This window comes from Homo sapiens, chromosome 12 (assembly GCF_000001405.40).
Source record: "Homo sapiens chromosome 12, GRCh38.p14 Primary Assembly".
Taxonomy (NCBI): Eukaryota; Metazoa; Chordata; class Mammalia; order Primates; family Hominidae; genus Homo; species Homo sapiens.
The window spans coordinates 9,410,422-9,432,063 of record NC_000012.12 but is presented as its reverse complement, the minus strand read 5'-3'; the positions used below and the strand labels follow the sequence as shown (position 1 = coordinate 9,432,063).

The following is a 21,642-nucleotide window of genomic DNA, read 5'->3' as shown; positions in this document are numbered from 1 at the left end:
TACATCTATTTACAAATGGCTTTCCAAGTGATGCTCCCAACTTCCATGCCTATGATGTGATGGAGGATGTCAGTGATAGAACCATTCAGTTTTCCAGTTTTTCCTTTTTGTAATATCAGTACTCTTAACTGGAAAGCTTTCCCTAACTTACACCTACCTGCAGCACGTGAGAATACTGTCTTCTCTGCCACAACTTCTCTTGATTTTTAAACAGAAGGAAGAACTGCTAATGTAGCAGATGAAAAGTAGTATCTCACTGTTACTTGGTGGGTGCAGTTTCACTATTTCCTTGCTACTTCTTTAACTTGAGTGACTTTGGAAACGGGATATCACTAGTGGAAAATTCTGTATAATCCAGAAAAAAATGTAAGGTTTTAAAAGATTCAGGGAACTAAGTAACCGTTTGCACAGCAGCTAAATGCTCACCAGCATACCTGCTGAGCTGTGTGGGCGCTGGCAGAGAAACTGAGGAAAGCTGCCAGGCCCCATGGTGTCCCAGGCCTTCCCTCCGGTCTGTTTGCCTTTAGAGCAAGATTAGTGCTATAGGCATTTATACACAAATACCATAATATGGCCCAAAATCTTTACGATTTTTGAATTTGTAAAGTACTTTGACCATATTTTGCTTTTATGTTAATAGTATTCCAGTGAAATTCCGTGCATGGGGACGCTGGAGCCCAGAAAAGTTAAGTGACTCATATTTTCTCACCAAGCGTGGGTGATGGAGCCATTCAGTTTTCCGATATTTTATTTCTTATATGAGTATTCCTTTAACTGGAAACTTTCCTAACAACAAACACCTAAAGACCTGCAGAGTTGCTTTTATTTTTGTTACCCCAGCTCCACGCCTTAACCCTCACTTTGAAATAGGATGTGTCAACCCTATTTTGCAGATGAGGAAAGCAAGGGTCAGAGAGGTTAGACAACTCTTCCAGAGTCACACAGCTGGGAAGTAGCAGCTCCAGGAGCAGAAGCTGGGGCCGCTTCCTGGTGCACCGATGGTCTTCAGGTGTTTTGTGGAAACTCGGGGGCCTCCGGGGCGACCTTGAGGACATGGACAAGGCTAAGCAGGGGTTCCCTTCACCCAGCCCTGCCCTTGGTTTACTCAGGAGTCAGACCAGCCCTAGTTTCCTGTGTTTCATGTATTGGCTTTTCATGTGAAACTCGAGGAGAGCTTGTCCGTTGCTACAAGCTGTTTTTTGAATGTCTCTACACAGTCCAGGCAGGAAGTAGAAGCACTCACATCAGGAGCTCAGTGTCAGGCAGGCAAGCCTCCTGCAGGGGAGCCCCGCCCTGCTCAGGTGGCCTCATCTCCCCTCCCAGCTGGTGGTGCTGCCCTATCAGATGCTGCTGCATGCGGCCACTCGGCAGGCTGCGGGCATCCGGCTGCAGGACCAGGTGGTGATCATCGACGAGGCGCACAACCTGATCGACACCACCACGAGCATGCACAGCGTGGAGGTCAGCGGCTCCCAGGTGCGTGGGCCTCCCCTCCCCGGGCCAGGGCCTGCCGTGAGGTAAAGGGACTTGGATGGTTCCTCCAGACACCTGGGCCAAGAATTCCTCCGGAGGTGGGGCTTGCTACAGGGTGCACGAGTCAAGGTGGTGACCTCATCGGAGGCTGACCATGGCTTTCCAGTGCATCCCAGAACTCTGGGGACCCCGCTATGACAGAGTGCCTCATTTCCCTGCACCTCACCTGCCCCCATGCTCCTGAGTCCCTCCAGCCCTGGATGCCAGCAGCCAGTTCTGCAAGCCAGGGAGATGGCATGTGTGAGGCAGAAGTCCCCTCAGGATTGGATTTTGTCATTACTGAAGTTGTCTGGAGGGGACTGAATTGAGGAATGCTCAAGATCAGTGCAGGCTCCTCCTGCTGCCCTATCATGCGCCATGCATGGCACCAGGTGTCTCTGGTCTTCACGCTGACTCTGCCATGGGGGTGGTGTTCCTGTTTTACATTGGAAACGTGGAGATTCAGAGATGGTCAAGCTCTGTCCTGAGGTCATGCAGCTCATGAGTGTGGAGCTGGGGTGTGCCCACTGGTTTCTGACTGTGAAACCCCCACGACATCCCACCAGCTCTACTGACCTGTGCCTGGGCTGAATTGAGGCTGGGATGTGATGGTGACCTTGAACCATCACTCTTTGTAGACTCTAGGTCTTTTCCCAACCCGGTGGAAACTAGCAGGGAGATTCCATACTTGAGGAATTCAGCCTCTTGCTTTTTCTCTGACCCACAGTGGACACTGGAGGAAACCTTCCCTTCCTTCCCTTTTCTCTTAGCTCCCACCAGCCTAAGGGCTGTGGAAACCAGTACCTTTTGTCTGCACCCAGCCCCCTCTCCTCCCTTTGGTGGCTTCCTGTGTGTCCAGGGCTAGCGTCTTCTAGGTGAATCTAAGATGTCAGTACCTTAGCCCTCGGCTGCTTGCTCAGAGCCTGGTTTGTGTTCTTTCCCCAGCTCTGCCAGGCCCATTCCCAGCTGCTGCAGTACATGGAGCGATACGGGTGAGATGTGACTCTCTGAGGTAGTGGGACAGTCCCTTGGTGGCCCCCTGCATGGGCCTCTGAGAGGCAGCACTTTGGTTCCCACCTCTGGCCCGGGCTGTGGCGGGGTGGAGCTGCATGCCATTCATGTCCTAGGCACATCATGGTGTGTGCTGCACACAGACCTGGAAGGCTGGGGACTGACCGCTGGCTCTGAGGCCTGGGGCCGTGGCCAGCCTGCTCTCTGGGAAAGGATTTGTAGCTTGTGACCCAGTTTGAGAGGCACCGGGCAGCAAGGCTTCCACTGGGGTGGGCGGGGCGAGTCGCCATCAGGGCACCACCACTTAATGTCCGTTGGCTTCTTCTCAGGAAGCGTTTGAAGGCCAAGAACCTGATGTACCTGAAGCAGATCCTGTATTTGCTGGAGAAATTCGTGGCTGTGCTAGGGGGTGAGAGCCTCGTCCCCCCGGCTGACCCCCGGCCTGCAAAACCCGCCGGGCTGCTTTTTCCTTGGATGCCCATCAGGACGCCTCAGTTCTCTGTGTTTTTAAGAAGGGTCGGCCAGGTGTGGTGGCTCACGCCTGTAATCCCAGCCCTTGGGAGGCCGAGGCAGGTGGTTCACCTGAGGTCAGGAGTTTTGAGACCAGCCTGGTCAACATGATGAAATCCCATCTCTACTAAAAATACAAAAAAATTAGCTGGGAGTGTTGCCGTGGCCTGTAGTCCCAGCTGCTCCAGAAGCTGAGACAAGAGAATTGCTTGCTCAAACCCGGGAGGCAGAGGTTGCAGTGAGCCGAGATTGTGCCACTGCAGTCCAGTCTGGGCGACAGAGTAAGAGTCAGTCTCAAAAAAAAAAAAAAAAAAAAGAAGGGTCTTGGTCATTGATTTAGAAAATTCTTGTTCTTTGTAGCTTAGTTGAGTTGTCTGACTTGAGCTTTTTTTAGACCCATGGGTTCTTTGCCCATGTTCTGAGGACTTTTTATTTCAGGCGCTGCTCTGGGGGGATATTAAGGATACAGCATCACATGGACACACGGTGTTTCCGTGATAGGCATAGTTCTGTGGGTTGTTCGAAGCACTTGCATATGCGGTTTTGTGTGCCCTGTGAGAACGCAGTGCTGGTATTTGAATCCTTGTTGATAGACGCATAAACTAGAGCTCGGAGCAAGGGCTGCTCCCAGCACGGGAGCCTGGGATCTTCTGACTCCAGCTCCCACGCCTCTTTGCATGACCCTGTCACATCCCCTTCTTTTATGATGGGGCACCCCCTTGTTGGAAAGTGTCTGTGGAAGTGGAAGCTGCAGAAAGCCTGTGGGAGCTCCTGGCGGGAGCTGGTCTCGTGTTGCTGCTCTGAGCCGCCAGCTCTGCTTTGCCTCAGGCTCACCAGTGGCCTGGGCAGCTCCTCTGTGCTCCGGTGCCCTGCATACCTTGGTCTGGCTGCTGTGTCCCGGCCTCCTGGAGAAGGGGTGAAAAACATAAACTTTACAGGGCTTTGGGTTCCACGTGCAAGCACGTGAGTCAGACGTGGGAGGCTCCTGGACCCACCTGCCCTCTAAGTGGGTCCGTTGCATACTATAAACAGTGAAAAGCAAAACAAAGCCGTTCAAATACAGATGCTCTTCTTACTTGATGTGCAGTGTGGAGGGAGAGAAGATAGGGAAGGGTTGGGGGGCCTGAGAACCACCATTGTGACCTATTTCCATTCTCTTTTTTAGGGAACATTAAGCAAAATCCCAATACACAGAGTCTGTCACAGACAGGTAAGAGAGTTGCCCTCAGAGGGCCCAGAGCTGATCTGAGCCACTTCCGAGCTTAACCCTGGGACTGAAACCTGAGGCTTAGGGTGAAGCTCCCAAGGCCCTTCATGTGTTTGTTCTCAGGGATGGAGCTGAAGACTATCAACGACTTTCTCTTCCAGAGCCAGATCGACAACATCAACCTGTTCAAGGTAGAGGTTTCCACCTTTCCACATTCCACATCCAATTTCCTTCCTGTCACCACCTGTGGGTAGAGTACTATGTTAAGACTATAGAAGGAAGAAAAAGCAAAACAGATGTGTAATTACTTAACCCTTAACGCAACACGCCTGTGAGACAAAAGTCATCTTCTTTTAGAGTGAAGGCCACAGGGATGAGGGATGGGTGAGAAAGGGACCTTTCTTGGTGCCCCATAGAACAGATAGAGACTCCAGGTCCTTGCTGTGTCACTCCATCTTCTGGCACAGTCTCCCTCAGGCTTATGGACAGGAATAGGATGTTGATTTGTTCTGTGCAACCCCTGTCACGTCTTCCCACTTGGGCCTTGGGTCTGGTTGCAGCCTCAGACCTCTGCTCGCTCCAGGTCTGTGTACCCAGCGCTCCCCAGATGAAACACGGCCACTGCCGCCTGAACCCCCAGCTCGTAACTCAAATCAGCAACAGTGACTGCCCCTGGGTACAGGGTTCTGCCTCTGTTCTAGGCGCCATGCCACGTGCTGTGCTCTGAGCTAGGATATCCTTTTGCCCCGGCAAGGAAAGCAAACAGGCCCATGGAGGTGACTTCAGGAGGGTGGCGAGCATAGGCTTCCCACAAGTGAGCCAATAGCAAGTGGCAGAGACAGCGTCCAAACCTGGCTGCACTGACTTGGGGCCCCACATTCTTCCCATCCTGCCTGCCTTTTTTTTCTTAAAACCAGCTTTTCCCCTGAATTACACATTTGGGTCACTGTCACTGCCACCATCCCTGCCAGACAGGCTGGATCCAGGTCATCCTTGATGCCTTTCTCCCCTTGTCTCCCACATGCCTGTGACAGCCGCCAGGCCTGACAGCCTCAGACAGTCCTGCCGTCCCCGCGCTTCTCCCACAGCTGGGACATGGGTGCAGGCACTCCTTCTCTCGCCTTCCCTTTGCCCTCCTTGCTTTCCTTCTCCCCTCTTCTTCCCATGGGTCTCGGGTCTCATCACTCACCATTGAGGGAATCCTCATCGAAGGACATCGCTCTTTTTAGAAACCGGTTTAAAGGCTCCAAACTCCTCATCTCTGCATCCCAAGCTAAGATCTGGCACCAAACCACACACATTGGATGCTCCGACTGAGTGGCACTGCCCCAGCCCCTGAGCAGGTCCCAGCCATCATCTCCTCTGTGGCTTTGCTCATAGAAGTTCCTTTGTTTTAACTCTGTCACCTGGAAGGAAAGCCAAGGGGACCTAGATTGTACTGAGCACTCTTAGACTTGAGAGAGACATTTGGAAAGAGGGTCTCCCCCCTGAGGAGGACACTGCGTTGTGGGCAGGGGCAGTAGAGGAGGGGGTGGCCTCGGAGAGGGGATGACAAGGTTGGTGGCAAGGAGGCTCCAGGTGCCTCAGAAGGTAGCACTGCGTTGTGCTGCCTGGGTGGTAGAAGTGGTGTTTTTTGTTTTGTGTTTAAGATTACAGCTTGCTCAGTTTGCACACATGCCTACAGCTGGGCTTGGTTTTTGCAGGTGCAGCGATACTGTGAGAAGAGCATGATCAGCAGAAAGGTAACTGCTCCCATCTTGTGGTCCTGAACAAGACCCAGCTGTGCCCCAACCCCCTGCCGTTGCCATGCTTTCCTCCCCTGCCCTCAGGAAACTCCAGAGTCCCCTTCATCTCCACCCTCCTTGGTGCAGTGGGCCTTGCTGAGGTGGTGGGATGCGTGCTGCAGGTGTCTTGGGCCTGGCAGAGCCTCCGATCCACCCAGCCTCTCTCTCATGGCTGTTCCTCGTTCCTCTCCACTGCTCTCTCTCATCCCACCCAGCTCTTTGGCTTCACTGAACGGTACGGAGCAGTGTTCTCATCCCGGGAGCAGCCCAAACTGGCTGGGTTTCAGCAATTCCTGCAGAGCCTGCAGCCCAGGACGACTGAAGGTGAGGCAGGAGGGTGAGCAGGCAGAGCCGGCTGCACGCATGGGCAAGGACTTCTGTTCCTCATGTGTGGACCTGACAAGAGGGAGGCCTCCTCCCCATTCTGCTCTGTGCAGCTCTTGCAGCCCCTGCAGACGAGAGTCAGGCCAGCGTCCCGCAACCAGCTTCCCCACTGATGCACATCGAAGGCTTCCTGGCAGCTCTCACTACGGCCAACCAGGACGGCAGGGTCATCCTGAGCCGCCAAGGTAATCAGGTGGTTCTTGGCCAGGTTCAGTTCCCAGGAAGGAGCCAAGCTGAGCCCGGGAGCCGCAGCATGAAAGGATTCTTTCCTTCCATCCTGGGAACTCCCTGGGTTAGGAGGAAGCAGTGCAGTGGGCACTGGCCTGCTGTGACCTGGGCAAGCAGTGGAGGTGGACGGGAGGAGATCGAGGGGCTGGGATGGAGGTCCTCTAGGGCAGGGGTCCTAGGGAAACTTGTATTGTGGGGTAGGTGGGCTTTGGTTTGGGTCATGATTTTGTCATCTATGAGCCTTGTGATTTGGACTATTTTCTTTCTCAACTTCAGTTTCCTCATATGAAAATGGAGAGGATAGGCCGGGCGCGGTGGCTCACGCCTGTAATCCCAGCACGTTGGGAGGCTGAGGGGGGCGGATCGTGAGGTCAGGAGATCGAGACCATCCTGGCTAACACAGTGAAACCCCGTCTCTACTAAAAATACAAAAAATTAGCAGGGTGTGGTGGTGGGTGCCTGTAGTCCCAGCTACTCGGGAGGCTGAGGCAGGAAAATTGCTTGAACCCAGGAGGTGGAGGTTGCAGGGAGCCGAGATTGAGCCACTGCACTCCAGCCTGGGCAACAGATCGAGACTCCATCTCAAAAAAAAAAAAAAAAAGATGGAGAGGACAGTATGGTCCACCTCTGTGGGCTGGTTGTCCTAGAGATTAAATGGTGTTTAATTTAAAGAGAAAGCACTAGCACTTGTGCCTCAGACCTGGACTCAACTGTGGACCCCCTTTGCTGGGACGATAGAAGTGTCTGTTGGGCTTGCACTCATCTCCCCACCAATCTGTTTTTCCAGGCAGTCTCAGTCAGAGCACCCTGAAGTTTTTGCTCCTGAATCCAGCTGTGCACTTTGCCCAAGTGGTGAAGGAATGCCGGGCAGTGGTCATTGCCGGGGGGACCATGCAGCCGGTAAGGACACCTTTCCCAGCCCCTCGTTCCCCAGGTGTTGGGATGAGATGGGAGCTTGGGAGAGATGCGTTATCAGTCCTGTTCTCTCCTGGGGCCGCAAGCCAGAAAGGGTCAGCTCGAGCAGGCCCAGTGGTGTCCACTGGGTGACACTGCTATTCTCTCACTGCTGTGCCTTTTAGGCTGCAGGAGCAGTGGAGACTCCTCTGCTGCTCCATTCTGTAGCCCCAGGATCACATGTCTCCCAGAGAAAGCTGTTCTGTGGTTTCAAACTCAAGGAAAAAAATCATGATTCCACTTTTAAAAGGTTCGTTTTGATGTATATGAATATAATAGTCTTTGTAGGCATAATTTTTACTTATGTGCATAGCTGTTTTAAAAACAAAAGTTTTTAAAACATGTGCTGTCACTGGAACTTGCTCTTTTCACTCAGCAGCCAGAGGGTCATAAACCCTGTCTCCTTGTCAGCAAGTATGCATGTATTTCAGTATCCCAGCTGTGCTGGATTCCAGTTACACAGATATATAGCATTTCATGTAGCTGCTTCTCTCTTGTTAGGTGTGCAAGCTATTTGCAGTTTTCTGTTTTGAGCATGACTGTGATGAATATAACCGCATTTCTGCACAGTGGTGACTCTTACCTAGCAAAGGGCCTCCTGGACAAAAAGCTGCTGGGAATCCTGAAGCAGTGCTTCCCAGCCCCAGCTGCCTTAGCTTTTGATTTTTATATTTTTGTATGGATAGATTCATAGTTTTATTCATTCGGCATATTAAAGTTGTTTACAGTCATTATTGTTTCTGACATTCACATGGTGAGAGCCCCTTCCTGCTAGCTCAGGTCCTCCCCGTGGCCCGGTCAGTCTCGCCTCCAGCACAGCAGAATGTCATGGGATCACCATGGGTGTCCTTGCCGCACACTGGATTGATTCATTTCTCCAAGCCGCTCTGGTTTCTTGTAATGGGGAATGACATTTGGAAGTCAAGCTGTGGGTGCTAGGGTGTTTGTCATGCTCCTGGGGCATTTTAGTAGACAGATCTAGGAAATGTTTTCAGAATGAATCCATACTGGTATTTCTTTCTTTCTTTCTTTCTTTTTTTTTTTTTTTTTTTTTGAGACAGAGTCTCGCTCTGTCTCCCAGGCTGGAGCGCAGTGAACCCGATCACGGCTCTCTGCAACCTCTGCCTCCGGGGTTCAAGCGATTCTCATGCCTCAACCTCCTGAGTAGCTGTGATTACAGGCATGTGCCACCACACCCAGCTAATTTTTGTATTTTAGTAGAGATGGGGTTTTACCATGTTGGCCAGGCTGGTCTTGAACTCAGGTGATCCGCCAGCCTTGGCATCCCAAAGAGCTGGGATTACAGGCATGAGCCACCACGCCTGGCCCATATTGGTGTTTCTAAGTAAAAATGAAAGGATTTGTTTACTTGACCTTTTATTGTATCTCTTTTTCTCTTAAGCCTGAACATGTGTGCTACATTAACTTACTTATCTGCTCTATCCTATAATATACTTAAAAGTTTTGAAATCATAGTACCAATATTAATTCTAACAATAGATCTGATTGAAATTGCCTTTCCTCTTTGCCCTTAGAGTGTAACCCACTAAGGATGCCTGGTCACTAGGCTCTAAAGTCACGTGGAACCAGGCTTCTCTCCGTGTGCTTCTGTTGTCAGTTTCATAGATAGCTAGGCTGTTTTTGTTTCATTTTCTTTTCAATTTTAGAATTTGCTTTCTTCTTTTCTGACTTGTAGTTTTTAAATATGTAAATATTTGTATGGCTCAAAAGTCAAAGCAATATAAAAAGATCTATTCAGGAAAGCCTCACTCTCATCCCTTTCCAGCCCATTCCCCACCCCCATAGGGAATCCGTTTTACTAGCTTATCCTTTCAGTCTTTTTTTCCCCTAAATAAGCAAAAACGTGTCTTCATTTTTCCCTTCCCTGTTTTATTTACACAGAAGGCATCTTAGTCAGTTGTCTGACCATCGCTCCTCTAGTGGGCTGCGTGGTTCTCTGTTGGACAGATGTAGGGAGCTTATCCAACCAGTACCCTCTGGATAGGCAGGCTCATGATTACAGGGAAAGGTCTGGGGGCACATGCTGTTTGGTATTTGTGGGCTGTATCTTCTCACTGGACTCCTAAATATGGGATTCCTGGGTTAAAAAGTATAACTATGTTTAATTTGTTAACTACTGTGAAATTTCATGAGAATTGTACCATTCTGTATCCCACCAGTACTGTCTAGGAATGCCTGTTTCTCCAGAGTGGTTACATTTGGATTTTTGCCAGTCTAGCAGGTGAAAGCTTGGAGATTGTTATTCAGTAGTTTGGGCTGGGGCCTGGCCACGTGTTATTTTTGAAAATTTTCGCTGGTGATTTTGCTGCATGGCCAGGGTTGATAATGACTGTGCCAGATTTGCTGGATTTCCTTTGCTGTTCCTGCACATAGTTTAAACGAGACTGCCAGCACTGGGTATCAGTCACCATTTTTCTTTTTGTTAGTTTGCCGTCAGCCTTTTCTTTGACCTCTTCTTTCAGTTTGTGTGTACTTGCTGTCTCTTAGGCCAGACTTCTCGCTTCCTTTCTGCTGGGCCTCTGAGGGGTCATGGGGCCATGACGCTGTGGCCTTGGTCTACAGGTGTCTAACTTCCGGCAGCAGCTGCTGGCCTGTGCCGGGGTGGAAGCTGAGCGCGTGGTGGAGTTTTCCTGTGGTGAGAAGCTGTGCCCAGGGTGGGGCAGGCTAGAGGTCAGGTTCTGGCCCCCGTTTTCTGTGGGTAATAACTCATACTGCGACCAGGCACAGAGGCGGAGGAGACCCCGGGATGGGAGACTCACCCTTCGTGCGCTCACCCAGGCTCTCCTGCTTTGCTCCCTGCTGCCTGCTGCGTGCTGCCCAGTGTGACTGGCGATGGTGGGTGGGTGAGCGCTGTCAGTCGCTGTTCCTGTGCTGGATGATGGGGCAGGTAAATGCCCTCTCTGCAGTGTCTTACAGCACACCTGCATCTTCAGTTTTCGGCCCCTCCCTGGCTCTTACCAGGTCACGTGATCCCTCCAGACAACATCCTGCCCCTTGTCATCTGCAGCGGGGTCTCCAACCAGCCGCTAGAATTCACGTTCCAGAAGAGAGACCTGCCTCAGATGGTCAGTCCCAGCCAGCTCGCTGCACCACAGCCTGGCCTCCGGCAGCAAAGGGTTTTCTGGGGCAGGGGCGCTCTGGCCCACCCTGAGTGTTTTCAGGTGTTGGGGAAATTGCACAGGGACACCCACTTAGAGCCACACAGAATGAGCGGCGTCGATCTAGATGCTTATGGAGGAAGGTCTGAGCTTCCCCGCCCCTCACGCCTTAGGCTGCGAAATATGTATTCATAAAACCTCCAGGCATCCTCTGAGGACGCCTCACTCAGCAGAAAGCTGCTAGTTCCCTTTGGCTCTCTTGCCCTTTGGTTATATCTGCCCCTGCCGGGGGCAGGGATGTGGGGCTTGGGGGCATCTCCTGTGGTGTGCCTGGGGTGTGCAGCCCCTGATTGTCATTGTGGTGCCCATCAGGACCCTGGACAGAAGAAGGGACGACTCAGTGCCAGGGCAATAGGGAGGCCCCCCAGGGACGCTAGTGCTGTGACATGTGTCGGAAAGGCGCAGTCAGCAGCAGTGGCTGGGTGTGTTTGGTGGGAGGTGGCACCTACCACCCCGTGGTTCCCACCCAGGGGAGCCAAGTCCTCTTCTTTGGCTGTAGTCCTGCCGAGGGTCTCTCCTCAGTTTTGAGTCTCAAGGTGAAGACGCGGTTTGCGGGTGGCTGAGGGGTTGCTCCATGGGGGCTCCCTCCCTCCCTCCCTTCCTTCCTTCCTTCCTTCCTTCCTTCCTTAGATGGACGAGGTGGGTCGCATCCTCTGTAACCTGTGCGGTGTGGTTTCTGGAGGGGTGGTCTGTTTCTTCCCCTCCTACGAGTACCTGCGCCAGGTCCATGCCCACTGGGAGAAGGGTGGCCTGCTGGGCCGTCTGGCTGCCAGGAAGAAGGTGAGTGGCCTGTCGGCAGCCTTCCCACTTGTGAGGACAGTGCCACTGAGTCCTCCTGGGAGCTCTTGTGCTCATCGGGTCAGGACAGGCTTCTGGCTCCTCATCCCCACCACTCCCAGTCCCTGACTACAGAGGATTTCCCCAAAGTCCCTGGCTGTGAGGTTCTCCAGTCCCCTGGCCAGAAAACACAAGGCCACGAGCAGACCCGAGACCTGGCACCCTGAACCTGTCTCTGGGAAATGTCCTCTGTCTTTCTCAGATATTCCAGGAACCTAAGAGCGCACACCAGGTGGAGCAGGTGCTGCTGGCGTATTCCAGGTGCGGGCGTCATGCTGAGCTTGGGTATGAGACCATGTGGGGGTGGCAGCTGGAAACGTTGTGGGTGTCATCCAAGTTTTGGCTCAGCAACTCAGCGTCTGGGTTTCTCCTACAGGCCTGTGGCCAGGAGAGAGGCCCCGTGACAGGGGCCCTGCTCCTCTCTGTGGTTGGAGGAAAGATGAGTGAAGGGATCAACTTCTCTGACAACCTAGGCCGGTAAGTAGTGGTTCTGCTCATCTCCTGGGCCGTGATACATGGCCGACCCTCATTCCCAGCAGCTGGGCCCCTGCCTGCTGTCTGCTGCCATTAGAGCCCACAGCTGGGCTGCGACTGCTCAGACCAGCCAGCTGGAGGGAGGGGCTCAGCAGCTCTGGGTTTGGCCCTGGGAGAGCAGTTGGATTTTAGGCTGGCCATTGCTGTATCAGGACCCAATCAATTGGCCTAGACGGGATCTCTCAGCCTTACAAGCCCTCTCCAGGTGGTAGGTACAGAGTGGAGAGAGGCTGAGTTTTGATCACAGTCGGAGAGGGCTGACGGAAGGGGTAGAATGGAGCAGCTGGTGACATGGGTGATGACCCGGGAGGTCCTGACGTCCACCCGCTGGGCTCTTGTCTCCCCCCCAGGTGTGTGGTGATGGTGGGCATGCCCTTCCCCAACATCAGGTCTGCAGAGCTGCAGGAGAAGATGGCCTACTTGGATCAAACCCTCGTGAGTGACCCCAGTGTCACAGAGGGGGTGACAGGAGAGTAGGCAGTGGGTGGGAGTGGCATCACCCCCAGGGCTGATACAGCCAGGCCTTCCCCACTGCGCTGGTGTCTCCTGCCCCCTCCGGAAGCTTGGATGCCCCTCCACACCCTCTTGATCTTCCCTGTGATGTCACCTGGACCCCTGCTGCTGGCATTGGCCACGAAGCCTCCTGGTCTGGCTCCAAAGCCTGGCAGCGTCTTTTCCCCGGGGGAGCTGCAGGCAGGGAACAGTCCTGATGGGTCATCCCCTTCACTCCCAGCCCAGAGCCCCCGGCCAGGCACACCCAGGGAAGGCTCTGGTGGAGAACCTGTGCATGAAGGCCGTCAACCAGTCCATAGGTGAGCCTGGCTGCCTCCAGCTGGGTGGACAGATGGGAGCTGGAGAAGGGGAGAACAGGAAAGAGGGGTTGCCTGCCCTGTTTCCTATATAAGTCTGAGGAAGGTGAGGGGGGGTCGCCATGGGAATGTGCTGTAGGGGGAGGCAGGTGTTGCTCGGAGCGCCAGCCTCTGTTCCTATGCAGGCAGGGCCATCAGGCACCAGAAGGATTTTGCCAGCATAGTGCTCCTGGACCAGCGATACGCCCGGCCCCCTGTCCTGGCCAAGCTGCCGGCCTGGATCCGAGCCCGCGTGGAGGTCAAAGCTACCTTTGGCCCCGCCATTGCTGCTGTGCAGAAGGTCAGTCCTACCTTTTTCTTTCTGAGAGCCTCCCAACCCCGAGATCACATTTCTCACTGCCTTCTGTCTGCCCAGTTTCACCGGGAGAAGTCGGCCTCTTCCTGATGGGCAACCACACCACCGCCCGGCGCCGTGCCCTTCCTTTGTCCTGCCCTCTGGAGACAGTGTTTGTCGTGGGCGTGGTCTGCAGGGATCCTGTTACAAAGGTGAAACCCAGGAGGAGAGTGTGGAGTCCAGAGCGCTGCCAGGACCCAGGCACAGGCGTTAGCTCCCGTAGGAGAAAATGCGGGAATCCTGAATGAACAGTGGGTCCTGGCTGTCCTTGGGGCGTTCCAGGGCAGCTCCCCTCCTGGAATAGAATCTTTCTTTCCATCCTGCATGGCTGAGAGCCAGGCCTCCCGCTTGGTCTCCACAGGAGGCTGTGGCAGCTGTGGCATCCACTGTGGCATCTCCGTCCTGCCCACCTTCTTAAGAGGCGAGATGGAGCAGGCCCATCTGCCTCTGCCCTTTCTAGCCAAGGTTATAGCTGCCCTGGACTGCTCACTCTCTGGTCTTAATTTAAAATGATCCCATGGCCACAGGGCTCCTGCCCAGGGGCTTGTCACCTTCCCCTCCTCCTTCCTGAGTCACTCCTTCAGTAGAAGGCCCTGCTCTCTATCCTGCCCCATAGCCCTGCCTGGATTTGTATCCTTGGCTTCGTGCCAGTTCCTCCAAGTCTATGGCACCTCCCTCCCTCTCAACCACTTGAGCAAACTCCAAGACACCTTCTACCCCGACACCAGCAATTATGCCAAGGGCCATTAGGCTCTCAACATGACTATAGAGACCCCGTATCATCATGGAGACCTTTGTTCCTGTGGGAAAATATCCCTCCCACCTGCAACAGCTGCCCCTGCTGACTGCGCCTGTCTTCTCCCTCTGACCCCAGAGAAAGGGGCCGTGGTCAGCTGGGATCTTCTGCCACCATCAGGGACAAACCGGGGGCAGGAGGAAAGTCACTGATGCCCAGCTGTTTGCATCCTGCACAGCTACAGGTCCTTAATTAAAAGTGTACTGTTGGTTTCTGCTGAGTTTTTCATTGATATGTGCTGCTGTTTTCTCTGGAAGCCTCTTTAGGGAATCGAGGAGCGCACTGGTGCAGGGGCTGGGTGGAGCCATCCTCCGATGGAGCACAGGCAGACGGAAGCCCCCACCCCAGCTGCGTGGCCTGAAGCCAGCCTCCCGCTCCCCGAAGGTGGTCTCCACACAGACCTGGGACAGTTCCATCCCCGCCCCTTCCTCCAGGGCAGCAGGGCTGAGGATCCCATTCTGGCTGTGTCCACGTCCGGGCCATGGCTGGAGTCTGGGTTTAGGGGAGGAAGGCATGGCGGCGCCCGCTAGGATTTCCAGTTGTCCTCTTCTTCCTCTGCCTGTGGCTGCTGGGGGTTAGCAGACACGGTTTGTTGTCTGACATACGGGCTCTCTCCTCCCGGCCCCTCACCAGCCCCAGAGGTGAAAAGGCTGGAGGGCAAAGGCTGAGTGAGGGAGGTCTGTGGGGAGCACTGGTTTCCCCAGGCCCCAGAGACTTAAACACAGGAAGAAAAAGGCAAGAGAGAATTAACGATGCCACAGCCCATGGCAGACAGCGGCCCTGCCTCCTACGCTTGCGTCTCAGGACCAGCTTGTTGAAGAGATCCCACATCAATTCCCTGCCTTGGCTTACGGCTCTCACTGCAATAGGAAAGCCACGGAGTGGGGTGTGGGGTTCAGTCACATTTGACCCCCGGCTCCGTGTTCCTGTCCCCTGTAGTGTTTTTGTTATTAGACCCTTTTTTCTCCTTGGTTTAGGAATGGGGGCCCCAGGGCCACCCTTGTCCAGGCTCCCTCTACCGTAGAGGTGAGAATTCCAGGGCGCTACAGTTTGAAAACCACTATTTTATGAGCCAAGTAGAACAAGAAATGACAACTATTAAAAAAAATAAGGGATTTCTGACCAGCTAACAACCCCACAGAAAATCTGCCAGGGATCCAGAAATGAGACTGAGGTGGCCTCAGAGAGCGGCTCCCTCCTGAAGGGGATGCTGCTGCTGTCATCCTGCCCGGCACCTTGGACTGCAGTGGGCGGGGCCTGGGGTGGGGATGAGGGTGCACTGACCAGCACCGCAGCAGCTTGGGGAGGTTGGGGTGCTGTTAACATGCCATCGTATAGGTCGGAAGTGGAAATGGGAGAAAGTGTGGGGTGCCTAGGGAAGGAGGTGACTGAGTAGGGAGCCTGGCTGCCATCCTAACACCCAGCTCACTGGGCTTGAGAGACTTGAGCCTGGTGCCAGGGCAGAGTGGGTGATGCTGGGGCCCAGGCTGGCACCATACTTGAGGTCTGCCAGGCAGGTCAGGTAGGATGGCACATCGACCTTGGGGACTTGGCCCAGGTCTGGCGTGTAGAAGTAGTTCTCCGGGACACACGGGATTAGGTAGGGACATGTGAGAGGTGACAGGGACCTGCAGGAGCAGCTAGCGAGACCTCATGTGCACCCTGCACAGCTGTGGTGGCATAAGGGGTTCAATAGAGCCTCTCCTAGAGAGGAGCCTGGCAAGGCCCCCAGCCCCTGCCCCTGCCCCTGCCCCTGCCCCTCCCCCTCCCTGTCCACCTGCTGCTCCAGCTGCTCTCTCATTGATGGACAAGGGGCACTGAACAGTTTCTTCTCTGTCTCTGCCCCCAGCATCACATGGCTCTTTGTTACAGCACCAACCAGTTGGTCCGGGAAGACAGACTTCTTGTATCTACAGAGGCAATGTGGAGGTCAGGCAAGCCAGCACCTGCTGTCCTGGGACCATGTTCCTGACCTACCTCTCCCATGTCATCAGGGACACTGCACTGAGGGGTCCCAGGCCACCGAGCCAAGCCACCCTGGTCACCTTCTGGCTCCCGCCTCTGTGCTGCACCTGAGTGTGATGCCCTGGGACCCCATTAAGTCAGGCTGAGTCTTGCACCCACACCCTGCGACTCCATTTTCTGCTACAAAGGATCTCTCTGATGTTGACGAGCAGCATGGAGACTTGGGGAGACCCCCCAAGCGCCTCCTCCATGTCATCCTTGGGCTCCAGCTTGGCGCTCACACACACAGGAAAGGACTTCAGCTTCTCCTGGGAGGGCTGGGTGGCTGAGGGGTGGTGGATTTCGGAGTTGGACCAGCAGCTGGCCTAGAGGCTACTGGGGAGGAGGGAGCAGGGAGCACCCACTGCTGATCCAGATTCACTCCTTCCCTCGCCTCTGTCATGACCCCAAAGAAGCAGATCCTGAACCTGGGCTCTTGTCTTCACCTTTGTTCTCTTCCACTCTGGGGTAATTAAGAATGATTTGCTGGCCAGGCGCGGTGGCTCATGCCTGTAATCCCAGCACTTTGGGAGGCTGAGGCAGGTGGATCACAAGGTCAGGAGATCAAAACCATCCTGGCTAACACGGTGAAACCCTGTCTCTACTAAAAATACAAAAAAATTAGCCGGTCGTGGTGACGCGCATCTGTAGTCTCAGCTACTCGGGAGGCTGAGGCAGGAGGATGGCGTGAACCTGGGAGGCGGAGTTTGCAGTGAGTGGAGATTGCGCCACTGCACTCCAGCCTGGGCGACAGAGTGAGACTCCGTCTCAAAAAAGAAAAAAAGAATGATTTGCTAATTATGCAGGCAGCTGATCCAGTGCTGTGTAACCTTGGGGGCCACCAGATGCCAATCAGTAGAATGGGAGAGAAGGAAGGATGGAGGAAGTGAGGACAAGGGGCAAGGAGGAAGGTCTGTCCACCTGTCTCTTTTGTGCAGGAGGTGTCCAAGCAGGAGGAGCACGTCACATCCCCACTGAAAAAGCCCACAGAAAATGAAAAGCCCACATGCTTGTCCATTGCTGCAGGATGGGGGCAAGTGGAGAGGGAGAGGTGTCAATGCTCCCACCTTACTCCCAGTCATGGCTGACTCCTCCCTTTCCTTCGTTCTTGTTCCTAATCTGTCACCATGTCCTGTCGTTTTCTTTGTCTCACCCAACCCTCTGTGCCTGCAAATCCCCTGACTGCAGCCTCATCCCTGTCACCTCCTGACTGTAGTTGGTGACAGAAGAGGAGGCTGCACCAGTGAAGGAGCAGGGACTCCAGGTCTGGCAACAACCAGGGATGGGGCCGGGTGGGGGTGACTTGGACCTGGAGAGGGGCCTGAGTCAGGCAGTCACATACTTCATGCTGGGGTCCCCCAAGTGAGGCACAGCCCGGGGTCCCGGGAAGAAGACCAAGCCTCATTTCAGGTTGCTTGTGGCCAAAGACAGGACCTGTGTACCCAACAACCCCTGGGACTTTTGCAGGAAACAGCAAACGCCATTCGCTCACTCGAGTTAGATAAACACTGAGTGAAAAGTCACTGGAGCCCAAGGACTGCGGGGTCAGCACTGCCGATACAAGAACCGCAGCCCTCCAGCTCGGCTCCCTCAACGGCCTGCGCTGCAGCCACACTGGCCTCCTTTCAGGTCCTCCACCTCAGGGCTGTAGCTCATGTGCTTACTTCTTTCTGGAATGTTCTCCCTGACCTACCCACTCACCCTCAGGTTTTACCACAAATGCTATTTCCTCACATCCGTCTTCCCTGACCCCTGAGACCAAGCCAGGCCCCCCATGATGAGCCTCGCAGCACCTCATCTCCCCTCCGCAGAGGCGGTGATAACCCACAGAACCCAGGGCCACGATCCCTGGCTTTGAACCCTGGCTTTGGCACTCGGCCAGATCTCTGTCTTTCTGTGCCTCAGTTTCCTCATCTATAAAATGGATAACAGCAGCGCCTGCTCATAAAATGTGGCAAGGATTAAATGAGTTAACACACTCAGATCAATGGTGGAGCAAGCTCCATGATACATGAAGATTAGTGATTACAAAATACTATAAATAGGCCTTATCACAACTGTAATTAAATAACTGATCATTAATTGGTTATTTAGGTCTGTCTCTCCTGCCAGAGTGTATACACCAGTTGGACAAGGACGCTGCCTTATTCATCACTGGATCTATAGTGATTTGCTCAGTGCCTTGCACACAGGCACTGTTGGGTAAATATTTTCCGGCTGCAGGAAACAGTGAAGGACTAACCTCCCCCATCCCCGCCCCCCACCCCCCGCCCCCCGCCCCCCGCCCCTCTCTGCCTCGTGGGAGGAAGAGCATGAATTGGGAGAGCAGAGCCACCACAGGAAACCAGGAGGCTAGGTGGGGTGGAAGGGAGTGAGCTCTCCGGCTCTCAGGAGCGAAAGCTTCCAAGTTGGGCTCTCCCCTTGGCCCCTTCCACCCAGGGAAGACAGCTGGGTCCTCCAGGACCAAGAATCCCCAAAGGGGCTGCTCCCAGAGGTTGTGTTGCAGGGACTGGAGAGAGGACTTCCCAGTACAGGGGCTGGCCCTCTGATCAGGTGGGGGTAGGTGGCAGCAGAGCATTTGGTAGGAGGTCAGGAGCTCATAGGAGATGGGATTCTGCCGATGCCTGCTGAATGAATGAGGGAGGGAGACGGCAGGACCAGGGACTGGGGAATTGGTACTAAGGTGCTGGGTACCTGCCGAGCACCCTGTCCATACATGATCTCAGTTCAGCTCTCCACCTTGGAAACACAAGAAAGGATCCCTGGCTGAAGAGGGAAACAGAGGCTGGAAACAGGTACATGGGCAGGGTGGTGGTGGTGAGAGAATTGCCCGAATCAACTGCCAAATGGTGCCCAGGTTGGAAAAGCAAATGTGCACACGTGGGTTCTTCCCACTCTAACCCTGAGGAATTCGAGGCCTGCGTCCTAGACAGACTGGGCAGTGGCTAGTGACTCTAGGTATAGGAGTGTCCAGGCCCTGCTCACCCAGGCTAGAGCTTAGGGAGCCAGAAGGAAGGAGGTGCATGTTGGGGTGCAGGACAGGAGGGAAAAATACTCGAATTGCAAGGTGAGGGCACAGTCTGTTTATATTGGGTTGAATTAACTCTTCTCCCGATGCCACTAAAGCAGGAATCACACTGCAGATGGCACTGATTTGATTGGCAAGAGACATGCCAGGAAGAATATTAAGGGACCAGGCCCCTATAATTAGGCCTAATCATAGCCTGTTGTTTGAAAAGGGCATGAGGGACATTCATCCGGCCTGGCACTGTGCCCTAGACCTGCTCTCCTGGGTAGTGGGGCCCTCCATTGCAACAGAGGTGTGGGTGGGCCTGGGTGAGTGTGGCAAGAAATGCCTCGGAGGCTGTACTTGGCCTTAAAGGGCTGTGTGACCTTGGGTAAACTGCCTTCTCTGAATCTCTGGTCCTTTCCATTTCCCATTCTCCAGGCTGAGAACTGCACTCTGATACACGGTTATTCCCAATAATAATAATGTGTGTATCACACATAATGCACTGCACCTCTTCACCATGCTGGCACCTACTCCTCTGCTCCCCCTGCCAGCTTCCTCAGCCCCTTCTTCTACCCTGATGGTTCTCTCCTTGCCTCCTCAGGCCAGCACTTCCCATGATCTGAGATGTCTCTTTCCTTTTCACCTTTTTCTCCAGCAGTGAGTTCCTCCTCCTAACTCAGGCTTCCAGGAAGGATATCCTCTGCTTCTCAGACCTGAACCTGCCTCGAATACTCATGAGGACCCAGGAGCTACTCCTCACCTCCCACTTCTCCTCTGTCCTGTCACATAACCAAGGCACGGCCAACTGATCTCCAACCATCTGAGGAACCAATCGTGTGAGACCACCCACACCTTTCAAAAATGTTCCTCCCCTCTCCTTCTTTGTATTTATACTCATGCAAATTTGCTGGCCATCTTAACTCAATCCTGTGCCTCAGTTCTCCCACCTGTAAGATCAGGAGGAGGATAAAGATGTAAAACTTTCTGTACACATTTTAAGATGAATTCCTTGTTACCACATCTGAGGGTGTCTGTGTTTACTGTACTATCCACATGAGAGGATTGTACAGACACGAATCTAAACAAGGAAGTAGCAAGTCCATTCAAGCACTAAGAGGCTGATTAGTGGTTTATTCATTCTGTCTACAAACATCTACTGATCATCTATTCAGTGCAGACCATTATCACGACAAAGACGAATAAGACACTATGCAACAGCCAGGAAAACAGCGTCAAAAACAGTTAAACTCTAATCCAGCCATGAGTACAATGCTAAGGAGGAACAAAGCCCTTCTAGGGTTAGGGAAGTCAGGAAAAACCTCTCAGCAGAATGTGTGCCTCTCTACCAGGCCCAGGGAGAAGGTGCAGAGACAGCATTCCAGGTGGGGAGCAGTGGCTCACACCTATAATCCCAGAAGTTTGGGTGGCCGTGGTGGAAGAATCAAGCCTGGTCAACATAGACTCCTGTCTCTACCAACAAATATATATATTTTAAATTAGCTGGGTGTGGTGGTGCAGGCCTGTAGTCCCAGCTGCTAGGGAGGGCTGAGGTGGGAGGATCATCTGAGCTCCAGGTGGTCAGTGGAGGCTGCAGTGAGCCATGATCATGTCACTGTACTCCAGCCTGGGCAACACAGTGAGACCCTGTCTCAAAAAAACAAAACGAGAGCATCCCAGGTAAAAGGAACAGCTTGAACAAAGGTATGTGGTGAAACAGCAGGTGGTCTTGAGTGGTGGGGACACAGTCATCCTTGAGGAAGTACCAGGAAAAAGAATGATAAAGAGAGGCCAGTTTGTGAAAAACACCCAAAACCAAGGCTAGGAGTCTGGTTTTGAACCAGGAATGAAATCCTTAGACCTGTGCTGTCCAGTGTGGTAGCCACCAGGTACATGCAGCCACTCAGCACTGGAAATGTGGCTAGTCTAAATTGAGATGTGCTGTCAGTGTAAATACACACCGAATTTCAGACTTAGGAAAAAAGAACATAGACTATCTCATTAAAATCTATATTGATTACATGCTAAAATGACCATAATTTGGATACATTGGAGTAAATGAAATATATCGCTAATTTCTTCTTTTTTTTTTTTTTCCAACTGAGTCTTGCTCTGTTGCCCAGGCTGGAGTGCAGTGGCACAATTTTGGCTCACTGCAACCTCCACCTCTGGGGTTTGAGCAATTCTCCTGCCTCAGCCTCCTGTGTAGCTGGGATTACAGGCACCTGCCACCACGCCCGGCTAATTTTTGTACTTTTAGTAGAGACGGGGTTTCACCATGTTGGCCAGGCTGGTCTCAAACTCCTGACCTCAGGTGATCCGCCTGCCTTGGCCTCCCAAGGTGCTGGGATTACAGGCATGAGCCACCATGCTCAGCCTCTCCTGTTTCTTTCTATGTTAAAATCACATATGTGATTTCCATATTTTTCTTTTGTTTTCTTTTTGCCACACTCAGTGTCCCATGATTCCAAAGAAATGAATCCCAGTTC

The 21,642-nt window shown here is 53.3% G+C and overlaps 1 long non-coding RNA gene and 1 pseudogene across 2 annotated transcripts in view; one reads left to right on the top strand and one right to left on the bottom strand.

Moving 5' to 3' along the window:
- Positions 1-14,373, top strand: part of DDX12P (DEAD/H-box helicase 12, pseudogene) — a 30,482-nt pseudogene extending 16,109 nt beyond the window's left edge. Inside the window, exons 10-27 of the transcript NR_033399.1 lie at positions 1,324-1,476; positions 2,458-2,504; positions 2,853-2,932; positions 4,199-4,243; positions 4,364-4,431; positions 5,944-5,982; positions 6,240-6,348; positions 6,462-6,593; positions 7,424-7,536; positions 10,174-10,246; positions 10,573-10,676; positions 11,400-11,549; positions 11,809-11,891; positions 11,983-12,083; positions 12,491-12,575; positions 12,874-12,952; positions 13,135-13,289; positions 13,365-14,373. The product of NR_033399.1 is annotated as a DEAD/H-box helicase 12, pseudogene (transcript). The remainder of the gene's footprint in view (positions 1-1,323; positions 1,477-2,457; positions 2,505-2,852; positions 2,933-4,198; positions 4,244-4,363; positions 4,432-5,943; positions 5,983-6,239; positions 6,349-6,461; positions 6,594-7,423; positions 7,537-10,173; positions 10,247-10,572; positions 10,677-11,399; positions 11,550-11,808; positions 11,892-11,982; positions 12,084-12,490; positions 12,576-12,873; positions 12,953-13,134; positions 13,290-13,364) is intronic.
- On the bottom strand, positions 731-5,673 carry LOC124902873 (uncharacterized). The gene is made up of 2 exons (XR_007063206.1): positions 5,430-5,673; positions 731-4,484 (listed from the first exon to the last, which is right to left on the bottom strand). It is a non-coding gene; the product is annotated as an uncharacterized LOC124902873 (long non-coding RNA).
- Positions 14,374-21,642: the final 7,269 nt, after the last annotated feature.